Here is a 25,933-nt window from a genome sequence, read left to right as displayed (position 1 = left end):
ACATAGTGAAACACCGTTTCTACAAAAATAGAAAGTAAAAAATTAGCCCGGGTGGTTGTGCACCACTGTAGTCCTAGCTACTCGAGAGGCTGAAGCAGGGAGGGTTGTTTCAGTCTAGGAGTTTGGGGCTGCAGTGAGCTATGATCATGACACTATACTGCAGCCTGGGTGACAAGAGCCAGACCCTGTCTTAAAAAAAATTCATTTGGGCTGGGCACTGTGGCTTACACCTGTAATCCCAACACTTCGGGAGGCCGAGGTAGGCAGATCACTTGAGGTCAGGAGTTCAAGACCAGCCTGGCCAACATGGTGAAAGTCCGTCTCTACTAAAAATACAAAAAGTAGCTGGGCGCAGTGGTGCACACCTGTAATCCCAGCTACTTGGGAGGCTGAAGCGGGAGAATCGCTTGAACCCAGGAGGCAGAAGTTGCGGTGAGCTGAGATTACGACACTGCTCTCCAGCCTGGGCGATAGAACGAGACTACATCTCAAAAAAAAAAAAAAAAGTCATTTGATCCCACATCCCTCTCCAGCTTCTGTTGCATTTCTCTGCACTCTTCATAGGAAAACTTCTCAAAGAAGTTACCTGTACTTGGCTGGGCGCAGTGGCTCATGCCTGTAATCCCAGCACTTTGGGAGGCTGAAGTGGGTGGATCACCTGAGGTCAGGAGACAGACCAGCCTGGCCAACGTGGTGAAACGCTCTCTCTACTAAAAATACAAAATTTAGCCGGGCATTGTGGCAAGTGTCTGTAATCCCAGCTACTCAGGAGGCTGAGGCAGGAGAATCACTTCAACCCAGGAGGTGAAGTTTGCAGTGAGCCAAGATCGCGCCACTGCCCTCCAGCCTGGGTGACAGTGAGACTCAGTCTCGGAAAAAAAAAAAAAAAAAAGGAAGGTACCTGTACTTGTACTTTGTGTGCTTTCTTGACCCCTTAACTCTTAAACCCACTGCATTCTTTTAGCAGATATTTATTGCATGCCTGTTTTGTGCCAAGTACCGTTGTAGCTTATAGCAGAACACAAAAAAATCTCTGTCTTTGTAGAACTTACACTTTAGTGTGGAGAGAAATAATAAAATAATAAGTAAATTATATAGGTTGTACAGCACCTGCGTAAGTCTGGTTCCTTCATCAGTGTACTAGATCCTATCCTTTGTAGTAGATTCCATTTTTGCCTGCTGAAGGATGTACTCTTGCAGTTGTCCCTTCTCCTGTATCATCAGTTTTTCTTTAATCATTCCCATCAGCATATAAACATGCTGGTATTTCTCCCATCTTAAACTTTCTTGACTTAATTTCCACCTCTAGCCATTCCTCATTTTTCTGTTCCCCTTATAGCAATATTTGTTAAAACAGTTGTTGGTTAAATCTGTACTCGTCTCGAATTCCTGCTTGTCAAGAATCATCAGTGACTGCTATATTGTTAACTTCAGTGGTCAGTTGTCAGTCTTGACTTTGCTTGAAAAATTTTGCAGTTTTCTACAACAGCACTGAGCCATAGTAAAGAAATTAACTTATAGGTTTGGTCTAAGGTTAAAAATTAACATAATAGGCCAGGCATGGTGGCTCATGCCTGTAATCCCAGCACTTTGGGAGGCCGAGGTGGGCAGATCACCTGAGGTCAGGAGTTCAAGACCAGCCTGACCAACATGGAGAAGCCCCATCTCTACTAAAAATACAAAATTAGCCAGGCGTGGTGGCACATGCCCGTAATCCCAGCCACTCAGGAGGCTGAGGCAGGAGAATCCCTTGAACCTGGGAGGCGGAGGTTGCCGTGACCCGAGATCGTACCATTGCGCCCCAGCCTGGGCAACAAGAGTGAAGCTCCATCTCCAAAAAAAAAAAAATTAACAGATGCAGCAGAAATGCAGTCATAAAAGGAATTCAAGGAAACAATTACAGGCTTGTTGGGAAGGAAATGAGACCAGAAAGAGTAAAATAACTTTTGAGAAAATAGATCACAGAATTCAAGAGCTCAGTGAGGCTGAAGTGGAAATGGTATGGCAGTGAGGTTTTGAATTACCAGAAAGGATGATCTGAGAGTATATTTGAGCTTAAGATTTCAGAAAGGGATCAAGTAAAATCTGTGATCTTGTCATAGAACCAAATGGCAGAATGAACTAGAGGTGAAAGTCTTTGGAGTTGCAGGACCCATGGTCACCCACATAAATGTTTATTCATCCTAAATGATTGCAGGACCTTGTGAAGAACACTGTGTACCAGTCACCATAGTCCACAAATAAGTGGGGAGGAATTGGCTGAATGAGACAGCCACGTGCCAATAGCAGGCGAGTTGCAGGGTAATAGAGCCCTGAGTTTTGAGCTTCAGACAGAGGATGAGTTTTTTTGTTTGTTTTCTCTACATTAGGTAGAGAAACAGTGATTATGAGGCTGAAACTCCATGAGGTCAGGGGCTGGGGCTGTCTTGCTCACCCCTCATTCCGTGTCTACTACAGCGTTCTCTGTACATAGTAGGTGCTCAGTAAATTCTTTTCATTGAATGAATTAGGAGCACTCTACAGAGTTCTGTAGGAGAGGTAATTTGAGGAAGAGACTAGCTTTAGCGATAAACAGAAGTAGAGGGAGCATGAGAAATGGTTGAAGATGTAGAGGAGGCTGCTTCAGTAGAGGGTAGTGATTCTTGGTATTTCAGAAAAGTTAATATGCTCAGTGTCTAAGCACAATTGTGAAGGCCTTTTTGGCACTGCAACTATTTTAATTAAACTATTAATATAATATATAGGATGACCTGAGTAAAAGTACTGCTTGATTTTAAAAGTGCTCCCCTTAATCTGTTTTGTTACCAGAAAAAAAAAGTGAACAAGAATTAAAAGATGAAGAAATGGATTTATTTACAAAATATTACTCCGAATGGAAAGGAGGTAGAAAAAACACAAATGAATTCTATAAGACCATTCCCCGGTTTTATTATAGGGTAAGTAGTGTCTAATCAAATGTCCTGCAGAGTTTAAAAATGAAATATAATTTTTGGCAAGGCAGGGTGGCTCATACCTGTAATCCCAACACTTTGGGAGGCTGAGGCGGGAGGATCACTTGAGTCCAGGAATTTGAGACCAGCCAGGGCAACATAGCAAGATCCCATCTCTAAAAGAAATTTTTTAAAAAATAGCTGGACATGGTGATGCATGCCTGTAGTCCTAGCTTCTCAGGAGGCTGAAGCAGGAGGATTACTTGAGCCCAGGAGATCGAGGCAGCAGTGAGCCGTGATTGTGTCACTGCACTCCAGCCTGGGTAACAGAGTTAGACCCTGTCCTCCCCACCCCCAGAAAAAAAAGTAGTTTTAAAAATAGGACCAGAATTTTATGTTTTAAAAATAGAGAATTATATTTTAAATTTTATATATTATTTTATTGTAATTGATCTTATCACTATTATAAAACATTTTGAGCCCAATAAAATCCCAAGTTTAGATTTAAGTGGGTATGTAAACACAAAGTTGTTAAACTGTGGGCTTTTTCTTTCTGATTTTTATTATAGATATTAGTAGTAAGTATTCTATTGGATTATGTTATCAGGTATACACTTTGTTATAAAGTTTTAAAATTTTGCTCAAGGCTAAACCGAAAAATAGATTATGGAAAACCTAAAGAATTTCACTTGAGGCCAGGCATGGTGGCTCATGCCTGTAATCCCAACACTTTGGGAGGCCAAGGTGGGTGGTGGATCATGAGGTCAGGAGTTCGAGACCAGCCTGACCAACATGGTGAAACCCTGTCTCTACTCAAAATACAAAAATTAGCCAGGCGTGGTGGCGCGCGCCGGTAATCCTAGCTACTCAGGAGGCTGAGGCAGGAGAATCACTTGAACCCAGGAGGTGGAGGTTGTAGTGAGCCCAGATCGCGCCACTGCACTCCAGCCTGGGTGACAGAGCAAGGCTCTGTCTCAAACAAACAAACAAAAAAGGAATTTCACTTGATTATTTTTTCCTTGTGCCAAAACTCTGAAAATGGCTATGAAGGGACGTATAGACAAAATAGACCTTAAGAAAAGCTATTCATGGTAGGGTCACTGCACTCCAGCCTGGGTGATAGAGCAAAGACCCTGTCTCAAAAAAAAAATGTTGGCCAGGTGTGGTGACTCACACCTATAATCCTGTCACTTTGGGAGGCCATCAAATCAGGAGGATCACTTGAGGCCAGGAGTTTGAGAACCAGTCTGGGCAACTTGGTGAGATCGTGTCTCTCCAAAAAAAACTTAGCCGGGCATGGTGGTGCGCACCTGTAGTCCCCGCTACTCAGGAGGCTGAGGTGGAAGGATCGCTTGAGCTCAGGAGCTTGAGGCTGCAGTGAGCTGTGATCATGCCACTGCATTCCAGCCTGGGTGGCAGAGCAAGAGCCTATCTCAAAAAAAAAAAAAGAAAAAGAAAAAAAAAAAAGCCGTTTACAACCTGGCAATGGTAGGGCAATTCGCCTGTAGTCCCAGCTACTCTGAGAGGGTGAGGAAGGGAGAATCTCTTAAGCTCAGCAGTTTGAGACCAGCCTGGGCAACATAGTGAGACCACCCCACACCCCATCTTTTTGTTTTTTTTTTGAGATGGAGTCTCACTCTGTTGCCCAGGCCGGAGTGCAATGGCACGATCTCAGCTCACTGCGACCTCTGCCTCCCAGGTTCAAGTGATTCTCCTGCCTCAGCCCTCCTAAGTAGCTGGGATTATAGGTGTGCGCCACCACGCCCAGCTAGTTTTTGTATTTTTAGTAGAGACCGGGTTTCACCATGTTGGCCAGGCTGGTCTCGTACTCCTGATCTCAGGTGATCTACCTGCCTCGGCCTCCCAAAGTGCTGGGATTACAGGCGTGAGCCACCATGCTGGCCCATCCCATCTTTTTTTTTAGAGGTCTATTTTTTTTTCTTAAGGTCTATTTTGTCTATTTAAAAAAAATAAAAATAAAAAGCTATTTATACCTGAAACTGAAATCTACTGAAAAATACCTATTTAGTATTATACAAGTTAACTGGAATCTTAGCTGGATGTTCCTTGAACCTATTACCTTCTAACTCTATTAATTACAACGTTATTTGCAAGTATAGTAAACAATGATTTAGCTGGTGTTCTTACAGATTAAGGTATTTATATAAGTGAGTTATCCAGATACTGAAATATTTCTTCAAGTGCAAATTTTTTTCAACCGAACATTTTTTATTGGAAACCTTCCTATAATACTATATACTTCTCAACCTTTTAAGAATCATATGCCTGTAATCCTAGCCTATATTTATTGTAGAAAAGGAAAAAATATGGCTAAACAAGTTGATCTCTTCCCATGACAACATCACCCAACAATGTAAACAGAACATTTTATATGAATCTTTCTACATATTTCTGTGGGTATCTGTGTATTTTTTTAAATGGGATTACATCATACATACCTTTACTGCTTTTTGCATTTCACACTCTCCTTAAACAGAGGCAGCTAAATAACTGAATATTTTTGATAGCCGAGGGGAGAGAGAAGGGAATTGACATTTATTGAGTGTCTAAGCACTGCAGAGCCCTTTGTATTCTTTATCTCATTTAACCTGGATTCTTAAATAATATGTTACTGTTATCGAACATAGGTTCTTGGGTTCTCAATGCAAAAGGGAGAGAGAGCACCTGACTCTGAAAAGAGCTGGTAGGGCTTTTTAAAAAAAAATCAGGAATTGATATTAGGGTGGGGTATGCAGGCTGGGCTGGGCAAAGCAGATCAGGTAGGGTATGCAGGTCAGCATTGTCTGGTTGCTATGGTTATCTTGAGCAGCGGGCCACCTGGTCTGGCTAGAGGCAACAAGGCTGTAAATCAGTTGTTCAGCATTCCTTCCCCAGATAGGACACTCACTTCACAACTTTGGTTATCTCCTAGTTACTGGAATTCTTTTGAGTAAAAGGCATGGTTTGGACATTATGGTGTCAGTGAGGTAGTGGTGTGGGTTTTGTGATCAGTGGGAATGCATGAAAAGAGTGCCATAGTGGGAGTGAGCTGACCCAAGCCCCCATTCCTACTCTGTCTCATTCCTAACAGCTCTTGGATAGGAATGGTGTGACCCCGTTCCTGAGCCCAGGACTGAACTTTCTTGTACTTCCGGGACCAAACCTTTGCCTTCTTTTTCTGGTTCCTGAGGGAATCTCCTTTTTTTCCTTTCTTCGTGTCACTTCTCTCTTTGGCCACCTCTAGATCTTAGATGGTCTCCTGTCTGCAGCTATGGATTTGTAAAAAAGTCCTTTCCCTTCTTTCTTCTTCCTCTCCATGGTCCCACTGCTTCAGAGAAAACACCTATTATCTTGAGTCACCACTTCTCTCCTTGGCTGATTAGCTGGTTAACTAGCCACTAGAACACAATGTCAGTCACCCCCAACTCCAGCCCCATCCCCATCTCCTAATGTTTCTTCTGTTGACGAAGAGTTGAACTCTGTAAAATATTTGAAGAGATTTATTCTGAGCCAAATATGAGTGGCCATGGCCTGTGACACAGCCTTCAAGAGATCCTGAGAACATGTACCAAAGGTGGTTTGGGTGCAGCTTGGTTTCATACATTTTAGGGAGGCATGAGACATCAATCAAATACATTTGAGAAATACATTGGTTTGATCCAGAAAGGTGGGACAATTTGAAGTGGGGCTTCCAGGCTACAGGTAAATTCAAATGTTTTCTGGTTGACACTTGGCTGAGTTTGTCTAAAGACCTGGGATCAAACAGAAAGGAATGTCTGGGTTAAGATAAGAGGCTGTAGCGACCAAGGTTTTATCATGCAGATGAAGCTTTTAGCTAGCAGGCTTCAGAGAGAATAGGTTGCAAAATGTTTCTTATTAGACTTAAAGTCTGTGTTGATGTTAATGCCAGAGAGGTATAACGAGGCATGTTTGACCCCCACTTCCCATCATGCCCTGAAACAGTCTCTCAGGTTAAATTTTAAGGGCGCTGACTGAGGAGGAAGTCCATTCAGATGGTTGGGGGGCCTTAGAATTTTATTTTTGGTTTATACTCCTTTAACTCTGTTCCTTCTGATGGGAGGGATGGCATCTTAGTTCCTGGAAATGAAAGATGAAAACCATAACCCCAAGTTTTGACGTAAGGTTTACCGAGGTAATTTAATGGGGCTAAGATGTAGAAAAGGAAGAAGAACTCTTTAAAGTAAATTATTCTGGCTGGGTGTGGTGGCTCATGCCTGTAATCCTAGCACTTTGGGAGGCCAAGGTGGGAGGACTGCTTGAGTCCAGGACTTCAAGACCAACCTGGGCAACATAGCAAGACCCTGCCTCTATTATTAATTTAAAAAAGAAGAAATAAAGCAAATTGTTCTAAGTCAGGTTGGAATGAATCATTCTAAAGCTCTGCTCATGGAAATCACCCCAGTTGGCAAACCCTCTTGCCTGGGAGGCCAACATAATAGGCACTGCCTTGACTGTCTCCAAGAAGAAAGGTGATCCAATCTCAACAGGCATGCTTTCCTAAAACTGGACAAGAAGAATAAATGGTTTTTGCTGGACAGGAAGAATTACAGGTAAGAACCACCCAACAGGTTCTTCTTGCCTGCTACCCAGATAGAGCCAATTTATCAAGATGGGAATTGCAAGAGAGAAATAATTTCATATACATGGAGACAGCTAAATGGGAGACAGGAGTTTTATTATTACTCAAATCAGCCTTCTTGAAAAGTTGGAGGCTAGGGTTTTTCAAGGATAGTTTGGTAGGCAGGGGCTAGGGAATGGGTACTGCTGATTGGTTGGGGATGGAATCACAGGGATATAGAAAAACAGTCCTGGTCCTTGCGTGCTGAGTCTGCTTCTGGGTTGGGGCCACAGAGGAGTGGCTGGTCTGAGAGGGGCCATTGGGTAGTCAGAAGTGCAAAAGCCTGAAAAGACATCTCAAAAGGCCAGTCCTGTGTACTACAATAGTGATGTTATTTACAGGAGTAATTGAGGATGTTGCAAATTTTTGTGCCCTCTGGAATAATAACTGCTAATCATTTAACTGACCTGCATCTTAGCAGAATTCTGGTCCTTCGCATCCTCCTGACCTGGTGTCCTTTCATTAGTTTTACAAAGGCAGTTTAGTTTTGGGATGAGCTATTATCATTTAAATCATAAACTAAATTTCTCCCAAATTTATTAATATCTTGGCCCATGCCCAGGAATGACCAAGGGCAGATTGGAGGTTAAAAACAAGATGGAGTTGGTTAGGTCAGATCTCTTTCACTGTCATCATTTTGTCACTGTTATAATTTTGCAAAGGTGGTTTTGAAATTGTCAATCTCCAGTTAATCCTCATTTAATTCTTCTATATCATTCTTTTTTTTTTTTTTTTTTTTTTGGTAGATGGAGTCTCGCTCTGTTGCCAGGCTGGAGTGTAGTGGCGTGATCTCAGCTCACTGCAACCTCCGCCTCCTGGGTTTAAGCAATTCTCCTGCCTCAGCCTCCTGAGTAGCTGGGACTACAGGCACATGCCACCATGCCCAGCTAATTTTTGTATTTTTAGTAGAGACGGGGTTGCACAGTGTTGGCCAGGATGGTCGATCTCTTGACTTCATGATCCGCCTGCCTCGGCCACCCAAAGTGCTGGGATTACGGGTGTGAGCCACTGCCCCCAGCCAATTCTATATCATTCTAAGGAAGCCAGCATGCCCAGCCAATTCTGTGTCATTCTAAGGTGACAATAGAAACACAGTGCTTTAAGAAAATAAAATGAAACTTGGTCTAGACTAGCTTTTAGAATGGCTTTTTCAGGGCAGAGATCCAGCCTTTCTGATCACCGATTCTCTGTGGATCAGTTTTTGTTAAACAAATGTTAAGCACAATTAAGGTGAGATACAAGAAATAATTCGAGGCGGTGGCATACAGTTATTTTATGAGGCCACATACATTTTATAGGATCCAGTAGTCTAAAATTTACATGTAGAAATTTACCTTGTATTTTCAGCTGCCTGCTGAAGATGAAGTCTTACTACAGAAATTAAGAGAGGAATCAAGAGCTGTCTTTCTACAAAGAAAAAGCAGAGAACTGTTAGATAATGAAGAATTACAGGTAAGAACAAAGCAAAAAGTTGCTTTAGATGTTAACCATTTCTCATTTGTGCTACTTAAATCATGCAGGATTTCTTGGTGCCTAATGGAGTCCGTACTACAGAGTGGTACTACATAGGCTCTGAAGCAGCAGTTCCCACCAGAAGCAGCCGCTGAGTTTGCATGGGTCATGTACCCCAAACATAGTGTTGTTTGTTATTTTTGTTTAAGGCCCTAGGTGATTCTAATGTGCAGCCAAGGTTGAGAACCACTGCTGTAGGGTCAGACTACAGAGGTTCAAATCCCAGCCCTGCTATATGACTTTAGGCAATGGACTTAACATCTCTGTGCTTCGATTATCATCTCTAAAGTAGGGATAGCTAACTATATCATAGAGATGTGGATTAAAGAGGCAGTGTATATCAAAAGCTTAGTAGGCACTCAATAAATGTTATTTTTATTGTTAGTAATCAAAAGGATAATAGGGCATGAGATTCATCTTAATATTGACTCTGCCAACAAACTCTCATTTTAGTGGAAAGCACACATTTAACTACATATTAAAATCTTGTTGTTTTTAACTTACAACATCTTCACTTCCACAATTCTCTTAAGAACTTATGGTTTTTGCTGGACAAACACCAGACACCACCTATGATTGGAGAGGAAGCGATGATCAATTACGAAAACTTTTTGAAGGTTGGTGAAAAGGCTGGAGCAAAGTGCAAGTAAGAATAATATAATTAACAAAAGAATGTGTTATGTTAAGCATTTTAAATGCCTCAAATATTGGCTGGGCACAGTGGCTCACACCTGTAATCCCAGCAGTTTTGGAGGCTGAGGTGAGAGGATTGCTTGAGCTGGGGTGTTTGAGGCCAGCCTGGGCAACTTAGGGAGATCTTGTCTCTACTAAAAAAATTATCTGGGTGTGGGGGCGTACACCTGTAGCTACTCCGGAGGCTGAGGTGGGAGAATTGCTTGAGCCCGGGAGGATGAGCTGTGATTAAGCCACTGCACTCCAGCCTGGGCGATAGAGCAAGACCTTACCTTTAAAAAAAATAAACAAATCCTCAAATATTAAATGAAGTAAATGGAATGACATTTGAGTCCATTTAAGTTACTAATTAAATTTAATAAAATTATTTACAGTCAAAAAATCACATTGGTATGAAGTTATTAAAATAAATAATATAGCCAGGTGTGGTGGCTCATGCCTGTAATCCCAGCACTTTGGGAGGCTGAGGTGAGCGGATCACGAGGTCAAGAGAACAAGACCATCCTGACCAACATGGTGAAACCCCGTCTCTACTAAAAATACAAAAATTAGCTGGGCGTGGTGGCGTGTGCCTGTAATCCCAGCTACTCAGGAGGCTGAGGCAGGAGAATCGCTTGAACCCTGGAGGCGGAGGTTGCAGTGAGCCGAGATCGTGCCACTGCACTCCAGCTTGGCAAAAGAGCAAGACTCCATCTCAAAAAAAAAAAAGAAATAATATAGTTTATGACACTTTCAGCCTTAAGACAGACGAAAGCAAACAAAAAAGAATGCAAGGCCAGGCACTGTGGCTCACGTGCCCATCTCTGCAAAATAAAAAAAACTTTTAATTAAAAAAAAAAAGAATGCAAACATTTATGACTTAGGCTAGGCATGGTGCCTCACGTTTGTAATTCCAGTGCTTTGGGAGGCCAAGGCAGGTGGATCACTTGAGGCCAGGAGTTCGAGATCAGTCAGGGCAACAGAGCAAATCTCTGTTTATATATATATATTTATCTTTTTTTTTGAGATGGAGTCTTGCTCTGTCGCTAGGCTGCAGGGGAGTGGCGCAATCTCAGCTCACTATAACCTCCGCCTCCTGGGTTCAAGTGATTCTCCTGCCTCAGCCTCCCAAGTATTATTGTATTAACAAAAGAATATGTTAAGCATTTTAAATGCCTCAAATATTGGCTGGGCCAATATAAATACAATATAATACAATATAAATACCCAATACAAATACTTTTTGTATTTTTACTAGAGACGGGGTTTCACCATGTTGGCCAAAATGGTCTCGATCTCTTGACTCATGATGTGCCTGCCTCAGCCTCCCAAAGTGCTGGGATTACAGGCAAGAGCCACTGCGCCTGGCCAAATCTCCATTTCTTTTAAAAAAAAAAAAAAGTTTGACTTAATATTTTAAGTTTTTGAATTATAAGGAGTCTCTATTGTTCTTTCATTTTTAATTGTATGAATTTATGCCATTGTTTGCTAATTTATGTAGAAGTCATTTTCTTTTATGTTGGCAGATCATTTAAATCTTTATTTTCTTTTCTTAGGCAATTTTTCACAGCAAAAGTCTTTGCTAAACTCCTTCATACAGATTCATATGGAAGAATTTCCATCATGCAGTTCTTTAATTATGTCATGAGAAAAGGTGATTCATTTTTACTGTGCTTGAACTCCTTATCTGGGAATCAAGTAGGTTTTTGGTCTGTGCTTTTATAAGTATTTCTTCTATGTGAAATCACTCTAAGTTTGAATAGTAGAATTTCTTATCTTTTGACCAAGATGTGTTACATAAACTTGGGTTAGCATAAAAAAACAAAAATTTTTTAAACCCTCATGTGTCTTAAAGATAATAGTAGACTAGAAATATTAAGAGCTGAACCAAGAGTTTTAATGTATGGTAATTTGAAATAATTTTAATTTACTGATAATTTTATTTTACCAGTATATTACAAGTTGAGTTGACTGATAGTTTCAAACCCAAAGCTGTAATATCAGTTTCAAGGAGCATCAATTAAACAGCTTGGACTTATGATTCCTACAAGTGCCATAATAATCTGTGAAAGCCTATTGTATACAATCTTTAATAATTGGTTGCTGTAATTAACCTCAGAAATAAAAGCAGCTTCACTGAAGGCATAATATTATACTAGCTGTCCCTGTTTGGTGGAACACCAAGTTTAATTGGTAAAGAACAGTATCTTCAAGGTGTCAATTTTATTATAGCTTTAGTCATGGTAGAATTGTTGAACTCTTCCATTCTATGGTTTTTTGTTTCAAGCAATTTTGTGGTGAGAAGAAATGTTTTTAGAGTTACTAGATTAGCTTGTCTCAAATCTGGCTCTTTATCTCCTTTTTCATATCTGAAGGATAGATCTTAAGAATTACTTTCATTTTCTTGTTTATTGTCAGTTTGGCTTCATCAAACAAGAATAGGACTCAGTTTATATGATGTCGCTGGGCAGGGGTACCTTCGGGAATCTGTAAGTGTTAACCTTATAGATATTATATTAACTCTTATAGACACTAAAATGTAAACTGTAGTTATCACTGGGTGTTGGGATTACAGGCTGTTCTCATAATACTTTGTTTTATTTCTGTCTGTGTGTGTTTGTGTGTACATATTTAGTTTTACTGTAACAAAGCAACTTGTACACTTTCAACTTTTAAAATTGAACATCATCTTTCCAGTGAAACAAAAAACAAATTTAAAATAAACAAAATTACAATAGAGAATGTCAATTCCAAATAAGATCCTACAGGTTCTACTGATTCTCCCATGGAGTAGCAGCCTTCAAGTCATCATTAAGAGAGAATTTATGCTGGGTGTGGTAGCTCACACCTGTAATCCCAGCACTTTGGAAGGATGAGGCAGGCGGATCACCTGAGGTCGGGAGTTTGAGACCAGCCTGACCAACATGGAGAAACCCTATCTCTACTAAAAATACAAAATTAGCCAGGCTTGGTGGCACATACCTGTAATCCCAGCTACTTGGAAGGCTGAGGCAGGAGAATCACTTGAACCCAGGAGGCAGAGGTTGCTGTGAACCGAGATAGCGCCATTGCACTCCAGCCTGGGCAACAAGAGTGAAACTCCGTCTCAAAAAAAAAAAAAAAAAAAAATGTATTGGCTGGGTGCAGTGGCTCACGCCTGTATTCCCAAGGCCTGTACTCCCAGCACTTTGGGAGGCTGACGTGGGCGGGTCACCTGAGGTCAGGAGTTTGAGACCAGCCTGACCAATATGGTGAAATTCCATCTCTACTAAAAATAGAAAAATTTGCTGGGCTGTGGTGGTGCATACCTGTAATCCCAGCTATTCAAGGGGCTGAGGTGGGAGAATCGCTTGAATCTGGGAGGCAGAGGTTGCAGTGAGCCGAGATTGCACCACTGCACTCCAGCCTGGGCAACAGAGGGAGACCCTGTCTCAAAAAAAAAGAGAGAGAGAATTTATTTTAAAGGTGTCATTTTAAACTGCAAGGATGCCCCTTAAAAATCACAATTAAACATGCCAAAGGAAAAGCAACGTTGTCAAAATGCTCACTTTAAACTATCAAAACGTTTCAAACCTACCCTTTGCTGACCTATAACCCCATTTTGTAAAATTTATTTTCTTTTTTTAAATAAGAGACAGTAGACAAGGATGCCGGGCGTGGTGGCTCACGCCTGTAATCCCAGCACTTTGGGAGGCCGAGGCGGGCGGATCACGAGGTCAGGAGATCGAGACCATTCTGGCTAACACGGTGAAACCCCATCTCTACTAAAAATACAAAAAAAAATTAGCCGGGCGTGGTGGCAGGCACCTGTAGTTCCAGCTACTTGGGAGGCTGAGGCAGGAGAATGGCATGAACCCAGGAGGCGGAGCTTGCAGTGAGCCGAGATCACGCCACTGCACTCCAACCTGGGCGAAAGAGCGAGACTCCATCTCAAAAAAAAAAAGACACAGTAGACAAGGAGATGTTGGTAAATGCTAACTGTCCATATTCACATAGAGACATAGTATACTCTGCGCTCAATAGAGGAAAGCAGCTAGAATTCTATGCACGACTACACAAGGGCCTAGCACCTTCCAGCTTCCAGCAGAGCAAAGGGAACAGGTTTTTCTTTTTTTTTCCATAGACCTCGGTGGTGTTGATTCCATATAGTTTTTGTTGAGACACAGGATGTTTCCGTTTTGGGGTTTGGTTTTTTATTTTTATTTTTTTTAACAAATGACATGTGTTACTAAACAAATGTTTAATGTATATTGACTATACAAATTCCTTTTTAGATTCTTTTTCTTCAAACTTTAAAAAAAAAAGGCCTTTTGGCTGGGCGCGGTGGCTCATGCCTATAATCCCAGCATTTTGGGAGGCCGAGGTGGGCAGATCTTGAGGTCAGGAGTTCAAGACCAGCCTGACCAACATGGAGAAACCCCGTCTCTACTAAAAATACAAAAATTAGCCAGGCATGGTGGTGGCCACCTGTAATCCCAGCTACTCAGGAGGCTGAGACAAGAGAATCGCTTGAACCCAGGAGGTGGAGGTTGCAGTGAGCCTAGATTGTGCCATTGCACTCCAGCCTGGGTGACAAGAGCGGACTGTCTCAAAAAAAAAAGCCTTTTAAAGGGGAAAATAAAAAGAATGTAGCATTTTAACATTTAAAAATCACTGAAAAACGTTTGATTATTCATGAGTGATATTAATGTGTCACTATTTTTTAAAGGGCCAAGAATTCCACCCCCCCGCTTTTTTTTTTTTAAGAAAATATAAGAGAAGCCAGACACGGTAGCTCACGCCTGTAATCCCAGCACTTTGGGAGGTGAAGGCGAGTGGATCACTTGATGTCAGGACTTCGAGACCAGCCTGATCAACATGGTGAAACCCTGTCTCTATTAAAAATACAAAAACATTAGCTGAGCATGGTAGCAGATGCCTGTAATCCCAGCTACTAGAGTGGCTGAGGCAGGAGAATCGCTTGAACCCAAGAGGCAGTTGCAGTAAGCTGAGATCATGCCACTGCACTCCAGCCTGGGCAACAGAGCAAGACTGTCTCAAAAGAAAAAAGAAAATATGAGAGAGAAAATGAATGTGACTGTATTCCCACCTCTGGGTTTAAGATTGCTAGGTCAGTTACCAAGAGGCTGCTTGTTTCCTATTAGGCACTGCTGTAATTAGGCCAAGTTATCAACAGAGAATTATAACTTCATGGTCCAAATGGCTATGCTTCTTCTGAGTATGGGTATCTAAATTATATGGACTTACTTTTCACCTCAGGCTTTTTTCCCAAATATACAGTGCTTTTTTTAAGATTGTAGGGGAGAGGGGAAGGGAGTTGGGCATGAATATAAACTAGGTTAATTAATCAAATAATTATTCAGATATAAGGGTTAAAGAAATGTAAATTTCTTGTTATAGTTCGTATGGTTCCTGCTATAATTTGTTGCATTCTGTTTTGTCTAGATTTCTGTAGATAGAATCTGTTAGCTCATTCTGAACATTTATACTGTAAAACCTTTCCAGGGGCACACTACAGTTCTCTTTAAGGTTCAGACCAACTTGAGAATAAAAGGCTCTTGCTTCTGGCAAGGAAGACATAATTAGCCACCTGCTGGTACTCGTTTAGAGGTCAGGTCCAAAACTGGAGTACTTCTCTAGCTCTGAGAATTCTTGTTAGCAGTTCACTTGATTTATAAAAACAGCAATATTGATTTATAAAAACAGTCCCCTGTTACTGCTTGTCTTGCCTCTTTCCATGGATGGAAACAAAGATTGAAAGAGAGATGAGCAAAAGGGAGAGAAAAGAAACAGTGTACTTCTATAGTTGTTTTTAAAAAGGAATAATTTTCCCCTTCTCTCAATGAAAGAAAACACTTTTCTCAAAGTATTTCTTCCATCCTTGGCCCATTGCCTTTTGAAACCCAGACTTTGTGTCTTACTAATTTGAAAGGCAGTGGCTTCCAGACCAACATTTATAATCTGAGTAGAGTATACAAAGTTTTATTCACTTATTAAATCTTATTAAGCATTTAGTAGACATTTATTTGGGGGCAGGTATTATTCTAAGCTTGTAGGGCTCATGTTTTACTTTGTGACAATCTGTTTGCCCAGATTTCTTTTTTTTCTTTTTTTTGTTTTCTTGCCCAGATTTCTGTAGATGGAATCTGTTAGCTCATTCTAAATGTTATACTTTAAAACCTTTCCAGGGACACAGTACAATTTTCATTCCCTTGTAGACCTATTTTTTCTAGCAGAGTGGGAAGACAGACACTAAATTATAAGCAGATAATATCAAATAGTGACAAGTTATATGTAGAAAATAAAACAGTAAACTAGGCAGGAATATGACTGGGATTGACAGACGATTTTAGGTAGGCTGGAAGGAGCATCTTTTTGAGATAGTGATTAAGTTTTAGCCATGAAGTACGAGAAAGAAGCCAGCCTTATGAAGATGTAGTATAGAGGAAACGGCAAATACAGTGTCTCCAAGGCAAAATTAAGCCTGGACCTGTTCTAGGAACAGAAGGAAGCCAGTGTGGCTAGAACAAGGACTATAGTAACAGAAAATGAAGTTGGAGAAGTAGGCAGGGGCCACATGTAGGGCCTTTTGGGCCACAGTAAGGACTTTGGATTTATTTTGAGGCTAACGGGAAACCATCGGAAGTTTTAAGCTGAGTCTGTCAGGATATGATTTACATTTTAAAAGATCATTCTGGATGCTGTATGGAGGATGTAAGGAACTCAAAGTACGGCCAGGCACGGTGGCTCATGCCCGTAATCCCAGCAACTTTGGGAGGCCGAGGCAGGTGGATCGCTTGAGCTCGGGAGTTCAAGACCAGCCTGGCCAACATGACGAAACCCCGTCTCCACTAAAAATACAAAAATTAGCTGGGTATGGGGGTAGGCACCTGTAATCCCAGCTACTTGGAGGCTGAGGCAGGAGAATCACTTGAACCCAGGGGATGGAGGTTGCAGTGAGCCAAGATTGAGCCACTGCACTCCAGCTTGGGCGACAGAGCAAGGCTCCATCTCTAAATAGATAAATAAATCTGGAGTATAAGCAAAATATTTAGGCACCTACCATGATAGTCCAGGTGAGATGATGGGCCCATAACTAGGGTAATTGGTGGCTGTAGAGAAAGCAAGAAATAGATTAATTCAATATATATTTTGGACTCCCCTCCTTCCCAGAAAAAACACAAATTGCTGCTAGATTGGATGTTCAGGGTAAGGAGTGTGAAGGCATTGATGAAGAAAAAGAGAAGCCAAAGACAAGTCTTAAATTTTTATTTTGAGTAACTGTTGGAATAGAGGAAAAGCAGGTGAGGACCAAGGTTGGAGATGACAAGAGAGCCCCATTTTGGATACTTCAAGTTTGAGATGCCAGTTGTCCTATAAACTTGAAAGTATCTCAGATCTACCAGAAATTTGATATTTGAAATGGTTAAAGCAAAAATAACATTGTTAAAATAAGTATAAGAAACCATGGGAAGGCACAGTGGCTCACGCCTGTAATTCCAGCACTTTGGGAGGCCAAGGCAGGCAGATCACTTGAGGTCAGGAGTTCGAGACCAGCCTGGCCAACATGGCGAAACCCCCTCTCTACTAAAAATACAAAAATTAGCCAGGCGTGGTGGTACGTGCCTGTAATCCTGGCTACTCAGGCTGAGACACAAGAATCGCTTGAACCCAAGAGGTGGAGGTTTCAGTGAGCTGAGATTGCGCCACTGCACTCCAGCCTGGACTGGACTGAGACTCCGTCTCAAAAAAAAAAAAAAAAAGAGAGAGAGAAACCATGGAAGGCTTTTAAATTTATAATCCTGTAATAGGGAAAGCCTTTCTAAGTATGACAAAACCCAGAAGTCTAGAAAACAATAAATTCAGCTAAATTTTTAAAGATCTATAGGGCAAAGCCCATGTTAAAGTAAAAAGAAAACAACAAACTGGGGGAAATACCTGAAACAGTCAGAAATGGCCAATTACCCTAATATATAAAAAGCTCCCAGAAATCAAGAAGAAAGCCATTAACCCAATAAAAAACTGGACAAAGATATAGATAATGTATAAAAAGTAAAATTCAAATGCTTCTTAATCATAAGAAACAACTAACTTCACATAAGAGAAATGCCAGATAAATCTACACTAAGTTGCCATTTTTCCCCTATCAAATTAGCAAAGATCAGAAAGTTTGAATTGACACCTTTAGTGTTTGAGTAATTTTTTCACAGTGCTTCTGAGCCAAAAGAAATCCCTAAAAGTTTCACTTATTAACTAGTTAATTTTAAACAATTTAATGAGTATTCATTAAGCTTATTAGCCATTTGAATAAATAATACACTTAAGTTGAAAGAAGATATTTTTATTTCATTCTTAAGTACAGTTATTAATGGGATGTGTACAACTACTTAAACCTGGGAATTAGACTGGACACTTGCCCTCCTCATTTCCTGTTCACTAATTTTTGTGTGGTACTTTACCACAGGAACCATCAAAACCTAGCTTTGCAAAGATTTATGTCATTAAAAGGAGTATATTTGGCTGGGCATGGTGGCTCACGCCTGTAATCCCAGCACTTTGGGAGGCCAAGGCAGGCAGATCGCGAGGTCAGGAGATCGAGACCATCCTGGCTAACACGGTGAAACCTTGTCTCTACTAAAAATACAAAAAATTAGCCAGGCATGGTGGCACGCGACTGTAGTCCCAGCTACTCAAGAGGCTGAGGCAGGAGAATCGCTTGAACCCGGGAGGTGGAGGTTGCAGTAAGCTGAGATTTCGCCACTGCACTCCAGTCTGGGTGACAGAGCAAGAGTCCATCTCGAAAAAAAAGGAATATATTCATGACATTTTGGTGATTTAAAAAATTTTTTAAAAAGGAATAATAACCAGGCACAGTGGCTGACACCTGTAATTCCAACACTGGGAGGCCAAGGTGGGCAGATAGCTTGAGCTCAAGAGTTCGAGACCAGCCTGGGCAACATGGTGAATCCCCATCTCTACCAAAATACAAAAAATTAACTGGGTGTGGTGGTGCATCTCTGTGGTCCCAGCTATTCAGGAGGCTGAGGTGGGAGGATCACTTGAGCCTGGGAGGTAGAGGTTTCAGTGAGCCGAGATCATGCTACTGCACTCCAGCAGCCTGTGTGACAGAGTGAGACCCTGCCTCAAAAAGAAGGAATACATTGAGATCCAGTATTGAAAATGTGAACTACCTTGAGCACGTAATTCTAGCTTGTAGCAATATCTGTCATGCAGTGTCTGACAAATGTTGCTGTTTCGCTCAAAATTTTAAAATATCCTGATGCACCCCTGTACATTAACTGTGGTGCTCCTGGGACACCTGTGTGCAGAATTCGGAACTGTAGAAATAGCCTTCACATTGCTGGTGGGAGTATAAAATTCACATGGCGTTTGTGGGGAGGTGGAAGTTTCCCAGGGTCTATCAAAATTCTACATGTGCATATGCTACAACCCAGCAGGTCCACTTATAGAAATTGTATTCTATATTCTTCCACAATATCTATGAATGAATAATTAGCTTAGCCCTTATGGTATTATTTTTCGTGCAGCAAAATATTAGGAAAAAACTAAATGTCCCAATAGAGAGGCCTAGTTAAATATGGCACATCTATGCAATGATATAATATATAGCTATTTATTCTCAAAGAGTGGAAGCTCTTTGAGAGTCAGTATGGAATAACTGTAAAATATATTACGGAATGACAAAAGCAGTTTTCATGGTATGTTGATACATCCTTTGTGTAAAAAGAGGGAAAGGCTGGGTGTGGTGCCTCACGGCTATAGCCCCAGCACTGTGGGAGGCAGAGGTGGCTGGATCACGAGGTCAAGAGATCGAGACCATCCTGGCCAACATGGTGAAACCCCGTTTCTACTAAAAATACAAAAATTAGCTGGGCATGGTGGTGCGCGCCTGTAGTCCCAGCTACTCAGGAGGCTGAGGCAGGAGAATCGCTTGAACTTGGGAGGCGGAGGTTGCAGTGAGCTGAGATCAACACCACTGCACTCCAGCCTGGGTGACAGAGCAAGACTCCATCTCAAAAAAAAAAAAAAAGAGGGAAAGAAATATATATGTATTGGTTCATATTTGCATCTGTTACCTTTGGGAAGCTGCATCAGAAGTTGATAATACAAGTTACTTAACCTTTGGGGAGAAGAAATAGGTGAGAGGCTTTTTAATCAATATCTTTGTTCCCTTTGAATTTGGAACTATGTAGAATTTACTACTTTTCAAAAATGCTAAAACAAATTAGAAACAAAATTTAATGTAAAATAGTTTTACCACTAAAATAGTCATGCATTTATTTCTTTATCAATATAGTATTAATGCTGAATAATTTTTAGTAATGAAATTCTAATATCTAATGAATCAAGACTGGACATTTAACACTTTATTTTGTTTTATTTTCAGGATTTAGAAAACTACATATTGGAACTTATCCCTACGTTGCCACAATTAGATGGTCTGGAAAAATCTTTCTACTCCTTTTATGTTTGTACAGCAGTTAGGAAGTTCTTCTTCTTTTTAGATCCTTTAAGAACAGGTAAAAGAAAATCTTATCTAACTTAGATATTATGAGGATATTATTATATCTAAATCTCAATAACTAGAGAAAACTCTTGAAAAATATCATTTATTTTCCTGTCACTGCCATTAAAAATTTGGTGAATTTCAAGGAGATAAAAAGGTAGAAAAAACAGTAGCAGTACTTTGGTTATGTTTATCTGAAGATCTTTTATGATTTACTTGCACTGACCATAACCTGCTGTGTGACAGATGGGGGGACATCACCTAACAGTGAAGAAGTATGAACTGGGTAGTCAGTCATAAATACCTCCTTCCAGTTCTAGGAAGCCAGTTATTTGCATATAATTTGCTGTCTCTGCTGTGTGACATACTGCAGAATTATTCTCTTTTTGATGAAAAATATGTATTTGGAAATATGAGAGCCATTTAGCCAGTGATGCATATTTTTCTTATTCTCTATAAGGATCGGATTGGTAAATATGGCCTCATTAACAGTTTGTTTTATTAACTGTTCAAACCTGCCCAGACTTAACTACATGTAACTGGAGCAGAGGAAAGGACAGAGAAGGTCCAAATCAAAGTGCCTGATTGTCCTTCTGTCCTTGAAAATTCAGCTATGGGCCTGGCACAGTGGTTCACGCCTGTAATCTCAGCACTCTGGGGGGCTGAGTTGGGTGGACCACTTGAACTCAGGAGTTCAAGATCAGCCTGGGCAACATGGCAAAACTTTTTCTCTACAAAAAAAATACAAAAATTGGCTGGACACGGTGGCTCACACCTGTAATCCCAGCTACTCGAGAGGCTGAGGCAGGAGAATTGCTTGAACCCGGGAGGCAGAGGTGAGCCGAGATCGCGTTATTGCATTCCAGCCTGGGCAACAAGAGGGAAATTCCGTCTCAAAAAAAAAAAAAAAAAAAAAAACTAGCCAGGCGTAGTGACACACGGCTGTAGTCCCAGCTACTTGGGAAGCTGCTGAAGTGGATCACTTGAACCCAGGAGGCAGAGGCTGCAGTGAGCCAAGATCGGGCCACTGCACTTCAGTCTGGGCAACAGAGCCAGACCTTGTGTCCAAAAAAAAAAAAAAAAAATCCAGTTATGAATCCAATCACAGCATATGGTAGCTGACAGTGTTTTTTGAACTCCTCTACTATAAGTACACACATATATACTTTTTCAAATTTTACAAAATAATATCACGTTTTGACTTATGTAGTATGCTAAGCATTTTACATGGATTCATTCATTTTCATCTCATAACCCCATAAGGAAGGTACATTATTGTCCACATTTTATGTGTAAGGCAACTGAGACTTTGCTAGGTTACATATTTAAAAGTGGCATTCAAACTCCAATCTGGGCTAGGTGTGGTGGCTCACACCTGTAATCCCAGCACTTTGGGAGGCTGAGGTGAGAAATCACTGGTGCCTAGGAGTTCAAGACCAGCCCTGGCAAGACAGACCTCTTCTGTACAAAAAAGCAGCAGCAGCCAGGCGCAGTGGCTCACACCTGTAATCCCAGCACGTTGGGAGGCTAAGATGGGTGAATCATCTGAGGTCAGGTGTTCAAGACCAGCCTGGCCAACATAGTGAAACCCCATCTCTACTAAAAATAGAAAAAATTAGCTGGATGTGGTGGTGGGTGCCTGTATTCCCAGCTACTTAGGAGGCTGAGGCAGGAGAATCGCTTGAACCCAGGAGGCAGAGATTGCAGTGAGCTGAAATCACACCATTGCACTCCAGCCTGGGCAACAAGAGCGAAACTCTGTCTCAAAAAAAAAAAAAAAAAGAACAAGAACAAGACAAAACAAACTCTGCTCTTAAACCACACCTGTTTACCTGCGTATTGCTTTCTAGTCCAGAACCTGCCAAAAATAAATGGAGACAGTGTCCCTGTTCGTGTACCAGCAGTACTATATCTATAATCACAACTTTTTTGAAAATCTGACATCAGTATAATTTTAGAATTTACCACTTAGATTTATATAGTTGAGGTATACAAGTAGAGATGTTATTAAATGTTGCCTGTAGGTTTCTCTTTTTTTTTTGCAGGGTGGGGATGGAGTTTTGCTCTTGTTCCCTAGGCTGTAGTACAATGGCTTGATCTCAGCTCACTGCAACCTCTGCCTCCCAGGTTCAAGCGATTCTCCTGCCTCAGCCTCCAGAGTAGCTGGGATTACAGGCGCCCTCCACCACACCCAGCTAATTTTTTGTGTTTTTAGTAGAGATGGGGTTTCACCATGTTGGCCAGGCTGGTCTGGAACTCCTGACCTCAGGTGATCCACCTGCCTCAGCTTCCCAAAGTGCTGGAATTACGCGGTGAGCCACCGCGCCCAGCCGAGATTTCCCTTTTTGTAGCAATATGTAATAAGGACTTTGGAGCATAAGAGCTAGAAGCTTTAAAATATCAATTGTGTGATTGCTCTTGTTAAAAAAATTTTTTTTTAATTAATTGAGTTGCTCTTTTCTTAAAATGAAATTAATTGTGTTTCTTTATGTTCTTAAAGGAAAGATAAAAATTCAAGATATTTTAGCATGCAGCTTCCTAGATGATTTATTGGAGGTAAATGTTTTTAAACTACTTAATTGTATCACTTGACAGTTGCTATCTTCTAATTATGTCTTTGTGTTCCATTAGCTAAGGGATGAGGAACTGTCCAAGGAGAGTCAAGAAACAAATTGGTTTTCTGCTCCTTCTGCCCTAAGAGTTTATGGTATGTTCCTATCATAATGCTAAAATTTGAATTATCCATTCTTCAGGAAATTGGTGTTCAGAGGACAGTTTTATACATACACTGATATACCTTAAGATCAAAATATTTAATTACCTTAAGCTTTAGTATTCTACATTACCAAAATTTACTTGTTTAAATACCGATGTTTTAACTTTTTGGACTCCCCCCAACCTTTTCTTTTTGAAGACAGGGTCTCACTCTGTCACACTGGCTGGAGTGCAGTGACATGATCACGGCTCAGTGCAGCCTTGAAGTCCTAGGCTCAATCCTCTCACCTCAGTGCCCCTACCCCACCCACCCCACCACCCCCAGTACTGGGTCTACAGGCGCCATGCCTGGCTAATTTATTTTATGTTTTTTTAGAGATGGGATCTCACTGTGTTGCCCAGGCTGGTTTCAAACTCCTGGGCTCAAGCAGTCCACCTGCCCTGACCTCCCAAAGTGTTGGGATTATAGGCATGAGGCACTGCACCCAGCAGAACCCTTTTTAAGTTATACACTTCCTTTTCAATAGAACAGAATGTAATTTGATCCTTGTTGACTCAGGAGCATCATTATGAACATTAGCTATTGTCATGCTTTGTTGATAAAATGCTATTCCCAGGGTCTACTGATGGAGCTAATCTACATTATCTTGTTGGGTGGTCTTTTGACTCCTTTGGCTTTTTTTTTTTTTTTTTTTTTTGGAGATAGAGTCTTGCACTGTTACCTGGGCTGGAGTCCAGTGGCATGATCTCGGCTCACTGCAACCTCCACCTCCCAGGTTCAAGTGATTCTCCTTGCCTCAGCCTCCCAAGTACCTGGGATTACAGGCGCTCGCCACCACACCCGGCTAATGTTTTTTTTTTTTGTTTTTTTTTTTAGTAGAGACGGTGTTTCACTATGTTGGCCAGGCTGGTCTGGAACTCCTGACCTCTGATCTGCCCTCCTCAGCCTCCCAAAGTGCTGGGATTACCGGCGTGAGCCACCACGCCCGACCTCCTTTTGGCATTCTTATCTCTACTTTCAAGTGCTAGCATTTCAGTGCTTTTTGTTGGCCTCTACCTCCATTTAATTTAGAAACCTAGGAATGTTTAAAAAGACTGCAAACTGAAAACAAATAATGATGTAAGTGAAACAGCCCAGAGACTATGGCCTTCATGATGGGTTTTTTTGGCTGTTTCTAGCCCAAGGGTTTTTCTGATCAAGATTGCAAAGGTAGCTGATAGTATTACACATAGGCCACTACCCTAATCATAACATGAATAGTTTGAAAATCAAAATATTAACCAAGAAAAAACTTTTTGTTAGTCTATTCTTCTGATTAAAATTTTATTGTGGTCATAAGTGTCTTTATTATTTTTCTTCCCAAGGCCAGTACTTGAATCTTGATAAAGATCACAATGGCATGCTCAGTAAAGAAGAACTCTCACGCTATGGAACAGCTACCATGACCAATGTCTTCTTAGACCGTGTTTTCCAGGAGTGTCTCACTTATGATGGAGAAATGGTAGTAGTTTAAATCTGCTGCTAAGTTTTAAAAGTTTAGGCTCCCAGAGTTTCCACAAACCCTTTTCTTGATGTAATACAGCCCTTTTTTTTTTGAGACAGAGTCTTGCTCTGTCGCCTAGGCTAGAGTGCAGTGGTGTGATCTCCGCTCAATGCAACCTCCACTTCCTAGGTTCAAGTGATTCTCCTGCCTCAGCCTCCGGAGTAGCTGGGATTATGGGTGCATGCCACTGCATCCAGCTAATTTTTGTACTTTTAGGAGAGATGGGGTTTCACCAGGTTGGCCAGGCTGGTCTTGAACTCCTGACCTCAGGTGATCTGCCTCCCAAAGTGCTGGGATTACGAGGCGTGAGCCACCACACTCGGCCCAGCATTATTGATATCACTGTGTAACAGTGTCTTTAAAATGTGTAAACTGATCAAATTACTTGAGATTCAGAGTCTTTGGTCTTAACGTAAATTAAAACATCTGCATTATGGCCTCAGGGCAAATAGAAAAGCTTATTGTTCATTTCATTGTCAGTGCACCTACTGTACAGTAGTGCATTCTAGTTTTTTTTTTTTTTTAAAAAAAAGCTGAGGCCAGGCTTGGTAGCTTATGGTTATAATCCCAGCGCTTTGGGAGGCCAAGGCCACAGAACCACTTAAGGCCAGTCGTTCAAAACTAGCCTGAGCAATACAGCGAGACTGTCTCTACAAAAAATAAAAAAATTACTTGGGCATGGATGGAATGTGCCTGTAGTATAGCTACTCGGGAGGCTGAGGCAGGAGGATTGCTTGACCTGAGGAATTTGAGGCTGCAGTGAGCTATGATGAGGCCACTGCACTCCAGTCTGGGCAGTAGAGTGAGACCATGTCTCTTAAAAGCTGAAACATTAGTAAATTATTCTGGCTATTTTCAGCTAGATAGTTCCGTCATTAAATTACCAGGTCAAATGTAGTAACACATATGCCATGATTTAATTCTGAGAATCAGGTTGTATTAGTCTCTAGAAGTGGCTATATGAACAGCTGAAGATAACATGCACTTGTCTTTTTATTATAACAATGCAAAATACTTGAGAAGGAAAATTCTAAACAGCATTTTAAAATCACCATTTTTGCTGCTAAAAACATGGGTTAAGAATCTGATAACTTTGGGAGGCCGAGGCGGGTGGATCACAAGGTCAGGAGATGGAGACCATCCTGGCTAACACGGTGAAACCCCGTCTCTACTAAAAATACAAAAAATTAGCTGGGTGCGGTGACGGGCACCTGTAGTCCCAGCTACTCCAGAGGCTGAGGCAGAATGGTGTAATGGTGTGAACCCGGGAGGCGGAGCTTGCAGTAAGCCGAGATGGCGCCACTGCACTCCAGCCTGGGCAACTGAGCGAGACTCCATCTCAAAAAAAAAAAGAATCTGATAAATTTCCCAAACCAGTTATGCTTAAAAAATA

At 41.2% G+C, this 25,933-nt stretch overlaps 1 protein-coding gene and 1 long non-coding RNA gene across 9 annotated transcripts in view, besides 2 other annotated features; one reads left to right on the top strand and one right to left on the bottom strand.

Annotated features, from left to right (window-relative positions):
* Nucleotides 1-25,933, top strand: part of PPP2R3C (protein phosphatase 2 regulatory subunit B''gamma) — a 36,827-nt gene that overhangs the window by 2,753 nt on the left and 8,141 nt on the right. For 3 of the 8 annotated variants that reach the window (XM_005267782.5, XM_024449638.2, NM_017917.4), the window contains 9 exons: nt 2,809-2,936; nt 8,917-9,021; nt 9,615-9,727; nt 11,310-11,407; nt 12,172-12,242; nt 20,162-20,294; nt 22,782-22,837; nt 22,913-22,988; nt 24,362-24,498. In XM_005267782.5, coding sequence (XP_005267839.1) covers nt 2,809-2,936; nt 8,917-9,021; nt 9,615-9,727; nt 11,310-11,407; nt 12,172-12,242; nt 20,162-20,294; nt 22,782-22,837; nt 22,913-22,988; nt 24,362-24,498 — 917 coding nt within the window. Of the gene's footprint in view, nt 1-2,808; nt 2,937-6,678; nt 7,502-8,916; nt 9,022-9,614; nt 9,728-11,309; nt 11,408-12,171; nt 12,243-20,161; nt 20,295-22,781; nt 22,838-22,912; nt 22,989-24,361; nt 24,499-25,933 lie in introns of those variants that run through there. The other 5 variants (NM_001305156.2, NM_001305155.2, XM_024449639.2 and 2 more) reach the window with 4 other exon arrangements.
* Nucleotides 6,216-6,997: an enhancer, noted in NCBI's record as "NANOG-H3K27ac hESC enhancer chr14:35581755-35582536 (GRCh37/hg19 assembly coordinates)". NCBI's record gives its function as "activates a minimal SCP1, AML or CMV promoter by ChIP-STARR-seq in naive H9 embryonic stem cells {active_cell/tissue: H9 hESC(naive)}" and the evidence as "EXISTENCE:reporter gene assay evidence [ECO:0000049][PMID:30033119]".
* LOC101927178 (uncharacterized) overlaps nt 6,416-25,933 on the bottom strand; it is a 32,050-nt gene continuing 12,532 nt past the window's right edge. The window contains exons 2-5 of the long non-coding RNA NR_110415.1: nt 19,851-19,894; nt 16,817-16,865; nt 8,904-8,976; nt 6,416-6,682 (exon numbers count right to left, since the gene is read on the bottom strand). This is a non-coding gene — a long non-coding RNA (uncharacterized LOC101927178). The remainder of the gene's footprint in view (nt 6,683-8,903; nt 8,977-16,816; nt 16,866-19,850; nt 19,895-25,933) is intronic.
* Nucleotides 16,650-16,817: a silencer, noted in NCBI's record as "fragment chr14:35571935-35572102 (GRCh37/hg19 assembly coordinates)". NCBI's record gives its function as "represses an EF-1alpha promoter that drives an FKBP-Casp9 reporter gene in an ReSE screen in both phorbol 12-myristate 13-acetate-treated (for megakaryocytic differentiation) and untreated K562 erythroleukemia cells {active_cell/tissue: K562 | K562(+PMA)}" and the evidence as "EXISTENCE:reporter gene assay evidence [ECO:0000049][PMID:32094911]".

Source organism: Homo sapiens, chromosome 14 (genome assembly GCF_000001405.40).
Source record: "Homo sapiens chromosome 14, GRCh38.p14 Primary Assembly".
Taxonomy (NCBI): Eukaryota; Metazoa; Chordata; class Mammalia; order Primates; family Hominidae; genus Homo; species Homo sapiens.
Note: the sequence above shows the minus strand (reverse complement) of the source record. Positions and strands in the feature narration are given on the sequence as shown.